At 37.7% G+C, this 14,657-nt stretch overlaps 1 protein-coding gene across 4 annotated transcripts in view; it reads left to right on the plus strand.

The window, feature by feature from the left end:
* FABP7 (fatty acid binding protein 7) overlaps positions 1 to 12,175 on the plus strand; it is a 34,874-nt gene extending 22,699 nt beyond the window's left edge. The window contains exons 1-4 of one of the 4 annotated variants that reach the window (NM_001446.5): positions 7,817 to 7,968; positions 8,392 to 8,564; positions 9,194 to 9,295; positions 11,818 to 12,175. In NM_001446.5, the coding sequence (NP_001437.1) occupies positions 7,896 to 7,968; positions 8,392 to 8,564; positions 9,194 to 9,295; positions 11,818 to 11,868 (399 nt within the window). In that variant the 5' untranslated portion in view covers positions 7,817 to 7,895 and the 3' untranslated portion in view covers positions 11,869 to 12,175. Of the gene's footprint in view, positions 1 to 7,816; positions 7,969 to 8,391 lie in introns of those variants that run through there. The other 3 variants (NM_001319042.2, NM_001319039.2, NM_001319041.2) reach the window with 3 other exon arrangements.

Raw genomic sequence — 14,657 nt, forward strand, 5'->3', positions numbered from 1 at the left:
ACATTTGTGGAGCACATATCAAGTGGACTTGATACTATGCTAGACGATGGTCGTAGAGCACAATGCATAATAAAATAGATGTTTCAAGGAACTTGTGTTCTTAAGGTAGGAGAAAGATACTAAATGACTGATTACAAAAGTAATTGAAATTATTATATATGTGTAATACATAAATGAAACCATAGGATGACATAACCATGGGGTTTTGACCCAGTTTTCCTTGAGGAAATATTAATTGAACTAAACCCTAAAAGTGAAATTAACCAGGAGGCTGGAGAGAAGAGTTTTCTTGGCCGAGTTGTTGCATATGAATGACCCGAGCAGAAGGAAGGTCCTGGGACTTTTTAATAATAAACCCAAAATATGCAAAAAGTTCTCTCCTCAGTCACTATGTCAGATCTAGAAGCAGGCTAAGAATGGAATATTTAAATAATGGGAGGTAAAAGGAGAAAAAACTGCAGAAAATAGTAGAGAAATGAGAAGGACATTTCTCCAAAATGCTTCTTTTCAAGGGCATGCCATACCTGGAGATTTATCTCCCTCTGACCTAGTCTATATTGCTCAGGCTGGACTGCAGTGGCACAATCAGCTCACTGCAACTTCCACCTCCTGGGTTCAAGCAATTCTCATGCCTCAGCCACCTGAGTAATTAGGACTACAGGCATGTGCCACCACATCCCAGCTAATTTTTGTACTTTCAGTAGAGAAGGGATTTCATCATGTTGCCCAGGCTGGTCTTGAACTCCTGAGCTCAACTGATCTGCCCACCTCTGCCTCTCAAAGTGCTGGGATTACGGGCATGAGCCACCATGCCCGGCCAAGTCTATACTTTCTAAAATGCAATAAGATAAAAGTTACATATCACCAATAGACAGATAATTCACTCATTTTTTCCTACCCCCACACCTCTTCACACCATCAAATTCCATTACTGATATTGCATTTAGCCCTTGCTTGAAGATTGGAATCCTCATCCTTCCTGGGCAGGAGCTGGCTTAGCTGGTTTATTGGTGAGGGTAGGCATGATAAAATGTGTACACATGAACAGACAGGTAAGCCCCTAGGGAATGTCTGTACCATTGCTTCAGCAAAACCAGTTTGTCTGATCTTCCTGAGGAGAGCAAAGATCACCTGGTGGCCATCAAGCAGATCATCCAGAGGCAAAACTCTTTATCAGAGGAATTCAGAAGTAATCAGATTTCCCTATTATCTAAGGCAGGCATCTGGTTGCAGGTTTCTTTCCCCAAAATTTGTAAGTAACTAGAATTTCTATATATCTCCAGAATACATGCGAATCAAAACTTATTATGCAACCCTTGCTGACATTAAGGCGCCAAAATGTCTACAAATGTAATCATTTATCATGACCTAAGTGGCTGATATGATCTAAATTACCCTTAAGTTCCTCCTTTAAGGACCATAAATACTCCTAAGGAAAAATCCACTGCTGCGCACTCAGTCCTCTTTTAGTGAGGTGCCCACTGCACTCTTCTGGAGCATTCTTTCTATCTAATAAAACTTTCTTTTTTAAATCTATACTGTCACCTGTAAATTCTTTTTGCCAACCCTTGAGTTGACCACTTTCTGATGCCAGGGCTCTGACACCTTGCCCAGCATTACCTATTATGGGAGAGACTGTGGGCCAATGGTGCTTTTATTGTGTAATTACATTTCCTTTCCAGCTACAGAGATATTCAATTACTATTTTATTCTTTGTAATTTGGTAAGAAAGAGAACCTCAAGCAGCAAATACTTTGTTATTTAATTTTTGTTGCTGCATAACCTTGGATATCTTACAAGAAATAATGTCATAACCTTGGTTAACTTACTTTGCTCAAAACAATGTTAAAACTTTATTAACACCTTCTATTTTGTTAAAAAGGAAAAATTGTTGTAAAGCAAGGCCAGGAGATTCAGCGTCATGTGAAGATTCTGCCAGGATCTCCTAAAGCAACTTATCTTTCTTTCTTTTATTTCACTACTTTTTAAAAAAAACAAACAAACAGGTCTTTATAATGAATTCTTTACCATTAGTGCCACTAGTTAATAAATAAAGGTAACAACTCTGAGTGAGGAGTCAATCTGTCATAATCTTTCCCTTATGAGACTGTAGATGCGTTTGTATGATAAAAGCCACAGCAAAGTCATAAATTGCTCCCAGGTTTAGAAAGCTTGGAAAAAGCCAGGAGCAGTGGCTCACACCTATAATCTCAGCACTTTGGGAGGCCCAGGAGGGTGGATCACGTGAGGTCAGGGGTTCGAGACCAGCCTAGCCAATATGGTAAAACACCATCTCTACTAAAAATACAAAAATTAGCTGGGCGTGGTGGTGCATGCCTGTAATTCCAGCTACTCTGGTGTCTGAGGCAGGAGAATTGCTTGAACCTGAAAGGTGGAGATTGCAGTGAGCCCAGATCAGGCCACTGCACTCCAGCCTGGGTGACAGAGATAGACTCTGTCAAAAAAAAAAAAAAAAAAAAAAAAAAAGACAGAGAGAGAGAGAAAGGAAAAGAAAGCTTGTAAAAAGATTTGTTAAATGTTAAATCCTTAGCACAACACAGTCTCTGCTTTTTCACTTTATCTTCTATTAAATTCTTCAATAATCAGAGCAAATAAGCTACTATTTGAAAGCAACCATTCTTAGGTATACAGCCATTATATTCTGAATAATGTAAAATAAGTCAAAAATGTCAGTATATGGAGTTATAGAACAGTCGAGTGGCTTTTATTCAACATGGTATTGGAAGTCCTAGCCAGGGCAATTAGACAAGAGAAAGAAATAAAGGGCATCCACACTGCAAAGGAAGAAGTCAAATTGTTATTGTTTGCTGATGACATGATCTCATATTTAGAAAAACCTAAAGACTCTTCCAAAAAAAAAAAAAAGGTTAGAATTGATAAATTCAGCAAAGTTGTAGGATACTAAATCAACGTACAAAAATCAGTAGCATTTCTATATGCCAACAATGAACAATCTAAAAAAGATATCAAGAAGGCAATCCCATCTATAATAGCTACGATAAACAAATACCTAGGAATACACTTAACCAAAAAAGTGAAGGATCTCTACAATGAAAACTATAAAATACTAATGAAATAAAATGAAAAAAAACACACAAAAAGGAAAGATATTGCATGTTCATGAATTAGAAAAATAATATTGTTAAATTGTTCATATTACCCAAAATGATCTACAGATTTAATGCACTCTCTATTAAAATACCAATGACATTCTTCACAGAAAAATAAATCCTAAAATTCATATAGAATTACAAAAGACTCCAAATAGCCAAAGTTATCCTAAGTAAAAAGAACAAAGCAAAAAGAACACATGGAAGCATCACATTACCTGACTTCAAAAGATACTAAAAAGCTATAGTAACAAAAAGTGCATAGTACTGGCATAAAAACAGACACATAGACCAATAGAACTGAATAGAGTACACAGAAAAAGTTTTTATATTTACAGACAACTTATTTTCAACAAAGGTGCCAAGAATATACACTGTGGAAAGGACGGTCACTTCAACAAATGGTGTTGGAAAAACTGGATAACCACATGCAGAATAATGAAACTAGACCCCTATCTCTCACTGTGTGTGAAAATCCAATTAAAATGAATCATAGACTTATATATAAGACCTGAAACTATGAAACTACTACCAGAAAACATTGGTGAAATACTTCAGGACATTGGTTTGATACAGATTTTTTAGTAAGACCTCAAATGCACAGGCAACCAAAGCAAAAATGGACAAATAGGACTATATCAAGTTGAAAACCTCTTCACAACAACAACAACAACAAAAAAAACAAACAAAAAAATACTAAACAAAGCGGAGAGAAAACCTACAGAATGGAAGAAAATATTTGGAAGCTATCCATCCAGCAAGGGAAGACGTAAGAGATTCAAATGATTGAATAGCAAAAAACAAACAAACAAACAAACAAACAAAAAACAAATTATCTGATTGAAAATTAGCAAAGATCTGAATAGACATTTCTCAAAGAAGAGATAAGAATGGACAACAGGCATATGAAAAATACTCAACACCACTAATTATTAGGGAAATACAAACCAAAACCACAATGAGATATCACCTCATCCCAGTTAAAATGGCTATTATCAAAAAGACAGTAAGAATGTTGATAAAGGGGCAATGCTTATACACTGTTGTTGGGAATGTAGATCAGCCACTATGGAAAACAGTATGGAGATTCCTCAAAAAACTTAAAATAGAACTACCATATGATGCAATAATCCCATTGCAGTGTATATATCCAAAAGAAAGAAAATCAGTATATCAAAGAGTTATCTGTGCTTCCATGTTTATTACAGCACTAGTTACAATAGACAAGATTTGGAATCAACCTGTGTTCATCAATGGATGAATGGATAAAGAAAATGTGGTATGTATACATAATGAAATATTATTCAGCCATAAAAAAGGAAGGAAATCTTATCATTTGCCACAACATGGATGGAGCTGGAGGATATTAAACGAAATAAGCCATGCAGAGAAAGAGAAATATCACTTTTTAACTCATATGTGGGAGCCAAAAAAAATCAATCTCATGAAAGTAGTGAATAGAATGGTGGTTACAAGAGGCTGGGAAGTGTAGTCAGGAACATGGGATGAAGAGGGAATGGTTAATGGGTAGAAAAACACAGTTAGGTGGAATGAATAAATTCTAGCCTTTGATACCACAACAGGTTTACTATAGTTAACAATAATTCATAGCATTTTTCAAAATAGCTAGAAAAGAATATTTAGAATGTTCCCAACAAAAAGAAATGACCAATGAGGTGATAAATATCATAATTACCCAGATTCAATCATTACTCATGTAATGTTTGCATCCAAATATCGTATGTACCTGATAAATATGCACAACTATTATGTATCCATACATGATTAATTAAAAAATAGTCACTTGACTTTTTCTAAAATTTCTGGTACAGATATCTGTATGGCAACATGTATTCTTTTCTGCCTATTACAAGATTAATATGCAACCAAAAAAACCTGCCTCTAAATTGTGGGGCTTTCATGTTTTTGATAAGGTTTAAAGGAATCAGAATTAATGGAATATATGCTCTACGAATAAATATGTCACCATCTCATATTCTTTATCTAGAGAGTGGAAGAAATAAATGGGTATGCACAAATATTTCAGCACTTGTGATCTATAAAGGGCTAAGATGAAGATATCTAATACATGGTTCCTGCTCTCAACAATTTTATGTTCTTAGAATACAAAAGGAAAATGATTTATTATATTTTAGAAAAATACTTACACATCCTACCACTTTAAACGTGTTTTATTAGATGAAACATATAGCAATAATTTGTAACAAAACAACTGTTTGAGAACATTTACTAGAGAAATAGTTTGCCTAGATGAAACAGTCATCGGAATTTTAGCTGTAAACTGGAAATAAAATCCTAAGCACCCCCACATACTGAGCAGACCCCCTTTTGGCCAAGGGATGCCCGCCTCAAAAAAACCCTTAAAACCTGAATTCCTGGCCATAAAAGGAAGGGAAGTCGGACATACTTCTGACTTTTTGGAGTTTAGACACAACTGACAGGCATTCATGTTAAAATAGAGATTATAAAACTGACAAAACAGACTCTTTGTGTCAATAAGACACCAAACTATAAACAAGATCTAAGGTAATGCAAGGCAAGAATTAGGCCATTCATCTTGCCACAGAGCATCCTTTTGTTAATATAAAACATTTATGTCCAGCCTGGGCAACATGGCAAGACCTTGACTCTACTAAAAGTACAAAAAAATAGCCAGGCATAATGGTACATGTCTGTTGTCCCAACTACTCAGAGGGCTGATGTGGGAGGATCACTTGAGTCGTGGAGGTTGCAGTGGGCTGAGATCGCGCCACTGCACTCCAGCCTGGGTGAGAGAGCAAGACCCTTTCTCCAAAAATAAATAAATAAATAAATAAATAAATATAATTTTTTTATGTGCACTCCAAGTTTTAGACAGAGCCTTATTCCTTTAACCAAGTGCAAATTAAAGAATCTCTGAATTCATCTATAAGCTGTAAGCCCTCAGCTTCAAGATATCCCAGCTTTTTGAGCTGAACCAATGTATGCCTTCCATGTATTGATTTACGTTTTTGACTGTACTTCTTGGCTCCCTAAAATGTATAAAACCAAACTGTAATCTGACCACCTTGGGACCACTTTCCCAAGGCTTCTTGGGTTTGTGTTTTCCCTGGGCCTCAGTTGCTCATATTGGTTCAGAGTAAACTTCTGTAAAACATTTTACAGAGTTTGGTTTTTCTGTTAGCAAAGCAAAAGAGATAGGCCTTGACATTAAGTTTGATTTTAGTGGTAAAGTATTAGAAATGATTCAGAGGTTTCTGGCTTGTACAGTTGGGTGCATGGTGGTATCAGTCACAAATAAAGTGAAAATTGGAAGAAAAGCAGTTGTGAAGGAAGACTACAGTTTTTGTTAAACAAGCGCACTTGAGACACCGAAGAAGAATCATGTAGCCGCCACCTAGCGTAGGAGGCCTTCTGAGCCTTCTCTGTTGGATCTGGTGTGGATTGGGTAGAAATGTGCTGGGCTGCAGTTTAATTGGGAGGGGAGAGAGAAGGGCAGGGAATATCAAGTCGGATTCTCCTGCTCTGTCCCCAGGAGAGGCAGGTAAGCTGCTTTCATTGCTGGTCAGCACTAGTAAGTCAGGAAGGAATCTCTTTGGGTGAAGGGGAATTTCAGAGACTTCCTTTAAATACTCTACTTAGAACCCTCAAGGTATTTGCCATTCTTGGGGAACCCTGAGCCAGGGCAAACTGAAACCAAAGCCCTTCTGATTCCTACCGCTCCTCCAGTTCCTGCCCTTCCCCATCACTAACTCCCAACAAATGTACACAGATTGTATTTGTGTAGATGTGGCCTCAGGAAATCAAAAGGTCCTAGAATGCAGGTAATTTAAAGTCTTACTAAATAATCTTCTGTCCAGTTTTTCCACATGGGTTCTATAATCTATTCAAGGAGATCGGGGGGAAAAGCATTCTTTTATTTATTTTTGTACCTCATTAGTAAGTCCTAACCATACTCTTCCTTAGGTCCCTTTTCCAACTCAGTCTCGTTCTCACATTTTTAGAAAGGACAACGGGATCTTTAAATTCTCTCGGTTTGTGTTGGGAAAGGACCCAAATTAGTGTGCTTCCTCATTGACAGTCAGAGTAGCCTTCAAGCAGTATATCCAGGGAAGGCATTTACACCTCCTCCCCGCCCTCTTTTTCAGTTTGGCCTACTCTAGCCTGCATTTCGCTCTCCCTGTAACTATGAGAGAAAATAACACACACTATTCACTCTCCTTTGTCTGCAAAGTCTGGCATTTCAGTGGTTTTCTTTAAGGGGGGTCCTCATTTGTGACCAGCTTTGTCATTAACGGAAATCAATCTGAATGCCCCATTGTGCATCTTTTTTCTTTCCTTGCAGTCTGAGATTGCCTTTGCCAAGTTTTTTCTCACCGAACCTGAAAGCCCTTCTCTCATTTTCCCGTTCCCTGCCTCCAGCCCCATTGAATCCCTGCCGAGCTTTCTCAGGCATAAGGGCTGTAGTGTGAGGATTGGGAGGAACTCGACCTACTCCGCTAACCCAGTGGCCTGAGCCAATCACAAAGAGGATTGGAGCCTCACTCGAGCGCTCCTTCCCTTCTCCTCTCTCTGTGACAGCCTCTTGGAAAGAGGGACACTGGAGGGGTGTGTTTGCAATTTAAATCACTGGATTTTTGCCCACCCTCTTTCCAAATAAGAAGGCAGGAGCTGCTTGCTGAGGTGTAAAGGGTCTTCTGAGCTGCAGTGGCAATTAGACCAGAAGATCCCCGCTCCTGTCTCTAAAGAGGGGAAAGGGCAAGGATGGTGGAGGCTTTCTGTGCTACCTGGAAGCTGACCAACAGTCAGAACTTTGATGAGTACATGAAGGCTCTAGGTAGGTAACAATAAGACCGGCTGTTCTCTTCTCAACGTGCAGCTTTAGATATTTGCAGATTCCATTTTTCACTCATCAGGTCAGCAAGAGGCAAAGACAGATCACATTGCCCTGATCAGATGCTAGGCTATGCATTTTCCACTGAATGGATTTTTAATGTGGCACTTGCTTGCCTTCTTACCCAGGGCCAATAAAAACAGAACATTTGCTATTCCGTGGAGAATATGAAGCTTCTCTGACTTTTTTGGTTTTCTTCTGCATCCACTTATTATCACAGTAGTGTTTTACATGATTAATGGGCTAATCATGTTCTAATGAAACTTACACTTTAGAACGTGGATTCCAGAATCAGAAAGCAGATTCTTGCTTTGTGAGTTATTTTGGAAGTCGCTGCAGACTGTACTGTTCCCTTTGCTATTTTAGGCGTGGGCTTTGCCACTAGGCAGGTGGGAAATGTGACCAAACCAACGGTAATTATCAGTCAAGAAGGAGACAAAGTGGTCATCAGGACTCTCAGCACATTCAAGAACACGGAGATTAGTTTCCAGCTGGGAGAAGAGTTTGATGAAACCACTGCAGATGATAGAAACTGTAAGGTGAGAAACTGCTTCTTCTTCAGAGTGGGGATGGGGAGAGGGGAATAAAGATAAAGATTTCCAATGCATGTTTTTTTTAAGATGTTGGAAAGTGTAGAATATTTTCAGTATTTCAATCCAAGGAGAAATACACCAAAGTTAGTTTAATGTGCATATGTTATATTTTGAACAATGGGTACTTGCTATAGCATAAATCTCAGTTGTATTTGTCTCTTACCATATACTGTTCACATTTTATATCAAACTTGTATTTCAGAAAATATTTAATAAGGTTTGTTTGAAAGAGAGATTGCATTTTGTTTAATTCCCCAGGTTGCCTCAGATTGACTAAATAGACAGTTTGCCTCATTCTAAGGCTTTCTTTAGAGGGACGACTAGCTGCAAAGCACTGGTTTAGGATTTTTGTTTTTAATATATTAAATTTTTGTATTTAGATGTATACTTTTTAATCAAATTATGAATTCAAATTTACATAATAGAAAATCTAGAAGTAATAGAAATAACAATAGGATAATTAACTGATCATGATTTATTCAATTATACAACTCTTTCAAAAATCACATCGTCTTCCGTATCAGAAATCTGAATTGTATTTATTGCTATGTTCTGCATTTTGTTGTTGGTCTCAGTCTGTTGTTAGCCTGGATGGAGACAAACTTGTTCACATACAGAAATGGGATGGCAAAGAAACAAATTTTGTAAGAGAAATTAAGGATGGCAAAATGGTTATGGTAAGTAATGACAATTCTCCATTCTTCCTTGTTTTTTTCTCCTCTCCGCACACCTCTCACCTCCTTCCTTCTTCTTCCCTCCTCCTTCCATTCTTCCTCCTTCCTTCCTTCTTTAATAATACATCACTGGCAAGGTTCTTTAACTATATGTAAAACAGGGGAAACAAAAAGATCCCAGTTAATTTTCTTCTTCAGCTCAACTTCTTTGATTGTAGAAAAAGAGAAAAATTCATGTGTAGTTAAAAAAATAAAAGTTGCCATTGATTTGCCTAAAACTGTGTCAAAAGATTTTTTGTAGGATAACTATGGATGTCTCTCAAATAAAATTTAATATAAAGCCCATAATCACTGAAATATATAAAGATAATTGCTATTATAAGAGAATCTCAGACAGATGACTTTATAGCTCCTGTAATAAGAGATCTTTAAACAGTTTATATTTTAATTTATAAAGTTACACAAGTTCTGGGCAGATAATTTAGAATATAACAGAAAAGTATAACAAAAAAATTAAAATCCCCTCTGATTTCTCATCAGTGATAACCCTTTTTTTTTTTTTTTTTTGAGATAAAGTCTTGCTGTGTCACCCAGACTGGAGTGCAGGGGGTGCATTCTTGGCTCACTGCAACCTCTGCTTCATGGGCTCAAGCGATTCTACAACCTCAGCCTCCTAAGTAGCTGGGACCACAGGTGCAAGCCACCAACGCCGGGCTAATTTTTTTGTATTTTTGTAGAGATGGGATTTCGCCATGTTGCCCAGGCTGGCCTACAGCTCTTGAGCTCAAAGTGATGCTCCCGCCTGCTGCCTCGGCCTCCCAGAGTGCTGGGATTACAGGCCTGAGCCAAGGCTCCCAGCCCCCAAAGAGAACCATTTTGATGTTACTTCTTTCCAGTTTTTTTCTCGAATGCATAATATGCCTTTTAAACATATATATTCAATACTAGGTAGACATGAAAAATATTTTTTTCAATCAGCCTCTTCTTACTTACTAGGAATTATCTGTAAAAGAGGATTTATTAGTGTCCTAAGGCTGCCACAACAAAGTACCACAAACTTGGTGGCTTAAAACAACAGAAATGAATTTTCTCAGTTCTGAAAGCTGGACGCCTGAGATCAAGGCGACCCTAGTGTTGCCATCCTTCTGCGGGCCCCCTCCCTTGCTTCTTCCTACTTCCCGGATGGCTCCTGGCAATCATTGAGGTTGTTGGGCTTACAGTTGTTATTACTCTGATCCATTTCTGACTCCATCTTTACAAGACTTTTTCCTCTGTTTTTGTCCTAAATTGATCAAATATAAAATAATTAACAAATAATTTATCTAATGATGGAGTAGTATCACAAACTAGGAGAAATATTATGCCTTCACCAAGCCTTCCTCAGACACTTTTTGTGTGACCTGCAATGGTATATTGATGATACTGACATAGGTGGGTAGGCTCATTCAATTTTGGAGGAGGGTGTGAGAATGCTTTACATAGTCCTTGTACGATGACAGCAGAGAAAGTTTTGTTGTTTAAGAATGGGGACTCATGTTTCCTTCTCCCCTTGACTACTGCAATCAGCACTGTTCTGCATTGAGATATTCATGTTTCTGTGGAGATGGAGGTGGGGAGCAGAGGGACAGTTTTCCTTTCATGTTAAAGGATATTTGCTCACATTTTTTTGGCAACAATCAATAAAAGAAAGGACTCATTTCTAAAAGATTCGCTCTGAAGTTCTCCTTTATGCTTTTACCTCCATTTTTTCCCAGAACACAGAAAAGTAGATAGCTCAACCGTGGCATGCATGACTATGATCAGGCAAGATTGAGTTCAAAAAGGAAGACTAAAGCAATAGACTACAAGGATATACTATACTCCTGAACATCACATCAATACATGAAAACCATGAGCACCAAAACCCCCTAAGTTCTGTAAAGTGGTTTTATAATAACTCTTCAAGTTAGATTTGACATTAGAGTAATAGAGCTGATGTTCCGCATCCTATCCACCTACCTACCTGCGTTCACATAGGCTAAACCATGACAACCAAAACAAGGAGAATATTTGTACCTTTACATGTTCCTCTTGATTTTGGAACAAGTCATTCCAAATACCATCAGCTCAAATGACTGGATTTTCTAATGGCTATTCAAAATTTATCTAGGTTAAGAATTGAAAACTGTTATGTAAACCTATTATAAAACTCATTCACTTTTAAAGCAGATAGTTGAGAAAACAACGTAGACACTCCATTTCTCACACCTGATCTGCTCAATTACCCTGATAATTTAAGGCTAAAGAAATTCTTTTGACTTGAATCTAAAGTGCTAATCCCAGTGTTTGCTTCATTCTCATTTCAGAGACATAAACTGTATATCAATATAGGGTCTCTTTTCAAGATGTGAAATGCTTATGCAGCATTTAATGTTTGTAAATGTCATTCTTTTGCATAATACTTAGATCACATATATGATGATCTTTAAAATTCGGTGACTGAAGTTCCTGTATAAAAAGATTTGATTATCTTTTGAACCTTGCAGACCCTTACTTTTGGTGATGTGGTTGCTGTTCGCCACTATGAGAAGGCATAAAAATGTTCCTGGTCGGGGCTTGGAAGAGCTCTTCAGTTTTTCTGTTTCCTCAAGTCTCAGTGCTATCCTATTACAACATGGCTGATCATTAATTAGAAGGTTATCCTTGGTGTGGAGGTGGAAAATGGTGATTTAAAAACTTGTTACTCCAAGCAACTTGCCCAATTTTAATCTGAAAATTTATCATGTTTTATAATTTGAATTAAAGTTTTGTCCCCCCCCCCCTTTTTTTTATAAACAAGTGAATACATTTTATAATTTCTTTTGGAATGTAAATCAAATTTGAATAAAAATCTTACACGTGAAATTTTGTTGTTGTTTCTAATATCATTAATCTGGCTAAGAATTCTATATTAGACAATTTTAAGTAAAATAGTCACTCTTATAGCATAAAGTAAGGCTGAAAAAATTAGCACTTTGTTTAAAATACTAATTTAAAAAATAAGCAAAAGCCTTAGAAAATACAGAAATGCCACAGTTTTGGTTGAGCCTTCCATGAAGAATCTGTGATGGTAAAATTCATTTGGCCAGGACCCAGAGAAGCCTTGTATAGTGGGTTGGGCTACGGAAGTGGTGTCGTTTTTTCCTTTTTTTGAGACAAAGTTTCAGTCTTGTTGCCCAGGCTGGAGTGCAGTCATGCGAACTCTGTCTCCCGGGTTCAAGCAATTCTCCTGCCTCAGCCTCCTGAGTAGCTGGGATTACAGGTGCCCACCACCATGCCTGGCTAATTTTTGTATTTTTTAGAGATGGGGTTTCACCGTGTTGACCAGGCTGGTCTTGAACTTCTGACTTCAGGTGATCCACCCGCCTCGGCCTCCCAAAGTGCTGGGATTACAGGCATGAGCCACTGCGCCCGGTGGAAGTAGTGTCTTTAGAAGAAACGGTTTGAAGAAACAAAATGATGTATATCAAAATGTCTTATTAAAAGGTAAATATAATCAAAATATCATGTAATCAAAATTTCTTATTGAAAGGCAATAGAGAAAGGGAGTGAATTTTATCCTGGATTATAAAAAATGTTTCTCCAGACAACTAAACTGAGTTGGATAAAGTCAATGAGAGTGCAAATGGAGTGCTGTGCATAAAGACACTCAAAATTTCGGGGTGGTGGAGCGGGGCGGGGAGAAGAAAGGGAAGGTGATTGAGTTGACCAAACCAAATTAAATACTTGTTTGTATCTGGCTGGGGTCTGAATTTGTGAAATACAAACAAACAAATATTTTACATATTTCATCATTTACAAAATGCTTTTTATACATTTTCTCAACCATACAATGTTTAGCAAGAAGGCAGGTATTATTTATTTTTACTTTACCAATAAGGAAATTGAAGGTTAGATTTGCATGTCCAAGTTCTCATGTGTAGTAAATAATATTGAGAGCTGGAAATCTTGCAATATTTCTCTTTATTTCCTCTCCAAAATTAATATTTCAGCTAACTTTTCTTCTGAAACAAAAACACAAGATTTTATTCTCCCCGATCATTCCTTTTCTTTGTTAGCCTCTTGGGAGGCTAGGGAGGTAAATATATTTCAGCACTTATATGTAATACTGTATTCATTTTTAATCAGCCCTGTGTTTTAGTAAGTTTTTATAAATTAATTCAAAGTTCAATTAACTGGCCAGGCACAGCAGCTCACACCTGTAATCCCAGCACCAGCACTTTGGGAAGCTGAGGCAGGTGGATCACGTGAGGCCAAGAGTTCAAGACCAGCCTGACCAACATGGCAAAACCCTGTCTCTACTAAAAATACAAAAATTAGCCAGGTGTGATGGTGCATTTCTGTAATCCCGGCTACTCAGGAGGCTGAGTTAGAAGAATTGCTTGAGCCGGGAGGTGGAGGTTAAAGTGAGGCAAGACTGTGTCATTGCACTACAGCCTGGGTGACAGAGAGAGACTCTGTCTCAAAAGAAAAAAAAATGTTCAATTAACTTACAGCTATAAGTATGAGAAAATTTTCTTTTTTTTTTTTTTCCTAAGAGATGGGGTCTTGCTTAGCTGCCCAATCTAGTCTCAAACTCCTGTGCTCAAGCAATCCTCCTACTTCAGCCTCCTGAATAGCTGGGACTACTGGCACATACCACTGCACTCAGTTTACCCGTCTTTAAAAGCATGAAACACAACATGAACAGGTTGTTGGCTCCAACTGTTCTGACAGCCACCATCTCTGCTTCTGGTGGAGGGCTGTTTAACAACTGGATTTCAGCCTACACTCTACCAGAAGCCCAGATTCTGGCCTCTCTCTTATTAAAGATACAAAGCCAAAGATAGAGATTTATCTTTAGCTCATTAAAATGAAGCCAAATAACACTGGCACCAGTTTCCATAACAACTGTCTCCCAGAGTGAAGAATGAAAAGGTTTTTGGGTGGCCTAAATGGGAAACAAAGATGCAATGGTCTGAAAGATCAAGGGTTGCAGTGGTAGAACAAATGATTTTAAGAGGGAAGATAATTAACATGTTTGCTTCCTAAGTTTTTCTGGGTAGTCGCAAATCATTTTTCTTCAAACCAAATTCTATTTCACACTGTCAATCTGTCAATGCACTAACTTTTCTGGTTTGCCGTCTTTGTTTTGTTTCTTAACATAGTTAAGAAACATAATTAAAGGAAAGGAAAAATGACCAAGACCAAAGGCAATTTGACCAACAGGCCCTGGAAGAACATTTCTGAAATGATACGAAGGTCTCAATGATACAAACTAAGCTAAGGCTGTTTTGTGAAGCTTCTGCTCTTCTTTCATGTGATTTCCCTCACCCAGATATACACACTCACGATGACATATTTGTAC

Source organism: Homo sapiens, chromosome 6, assembly GCF_000001405.40.
Source record: "Homo sapiens chromosome 6, GRCh38.p14 Primary Assembly".
Lineage (NCBI taxonomy): Eukaryota > Metazoa > Chordata > Mammalia > Primates > Hominidae > Homo > Homo sapiens.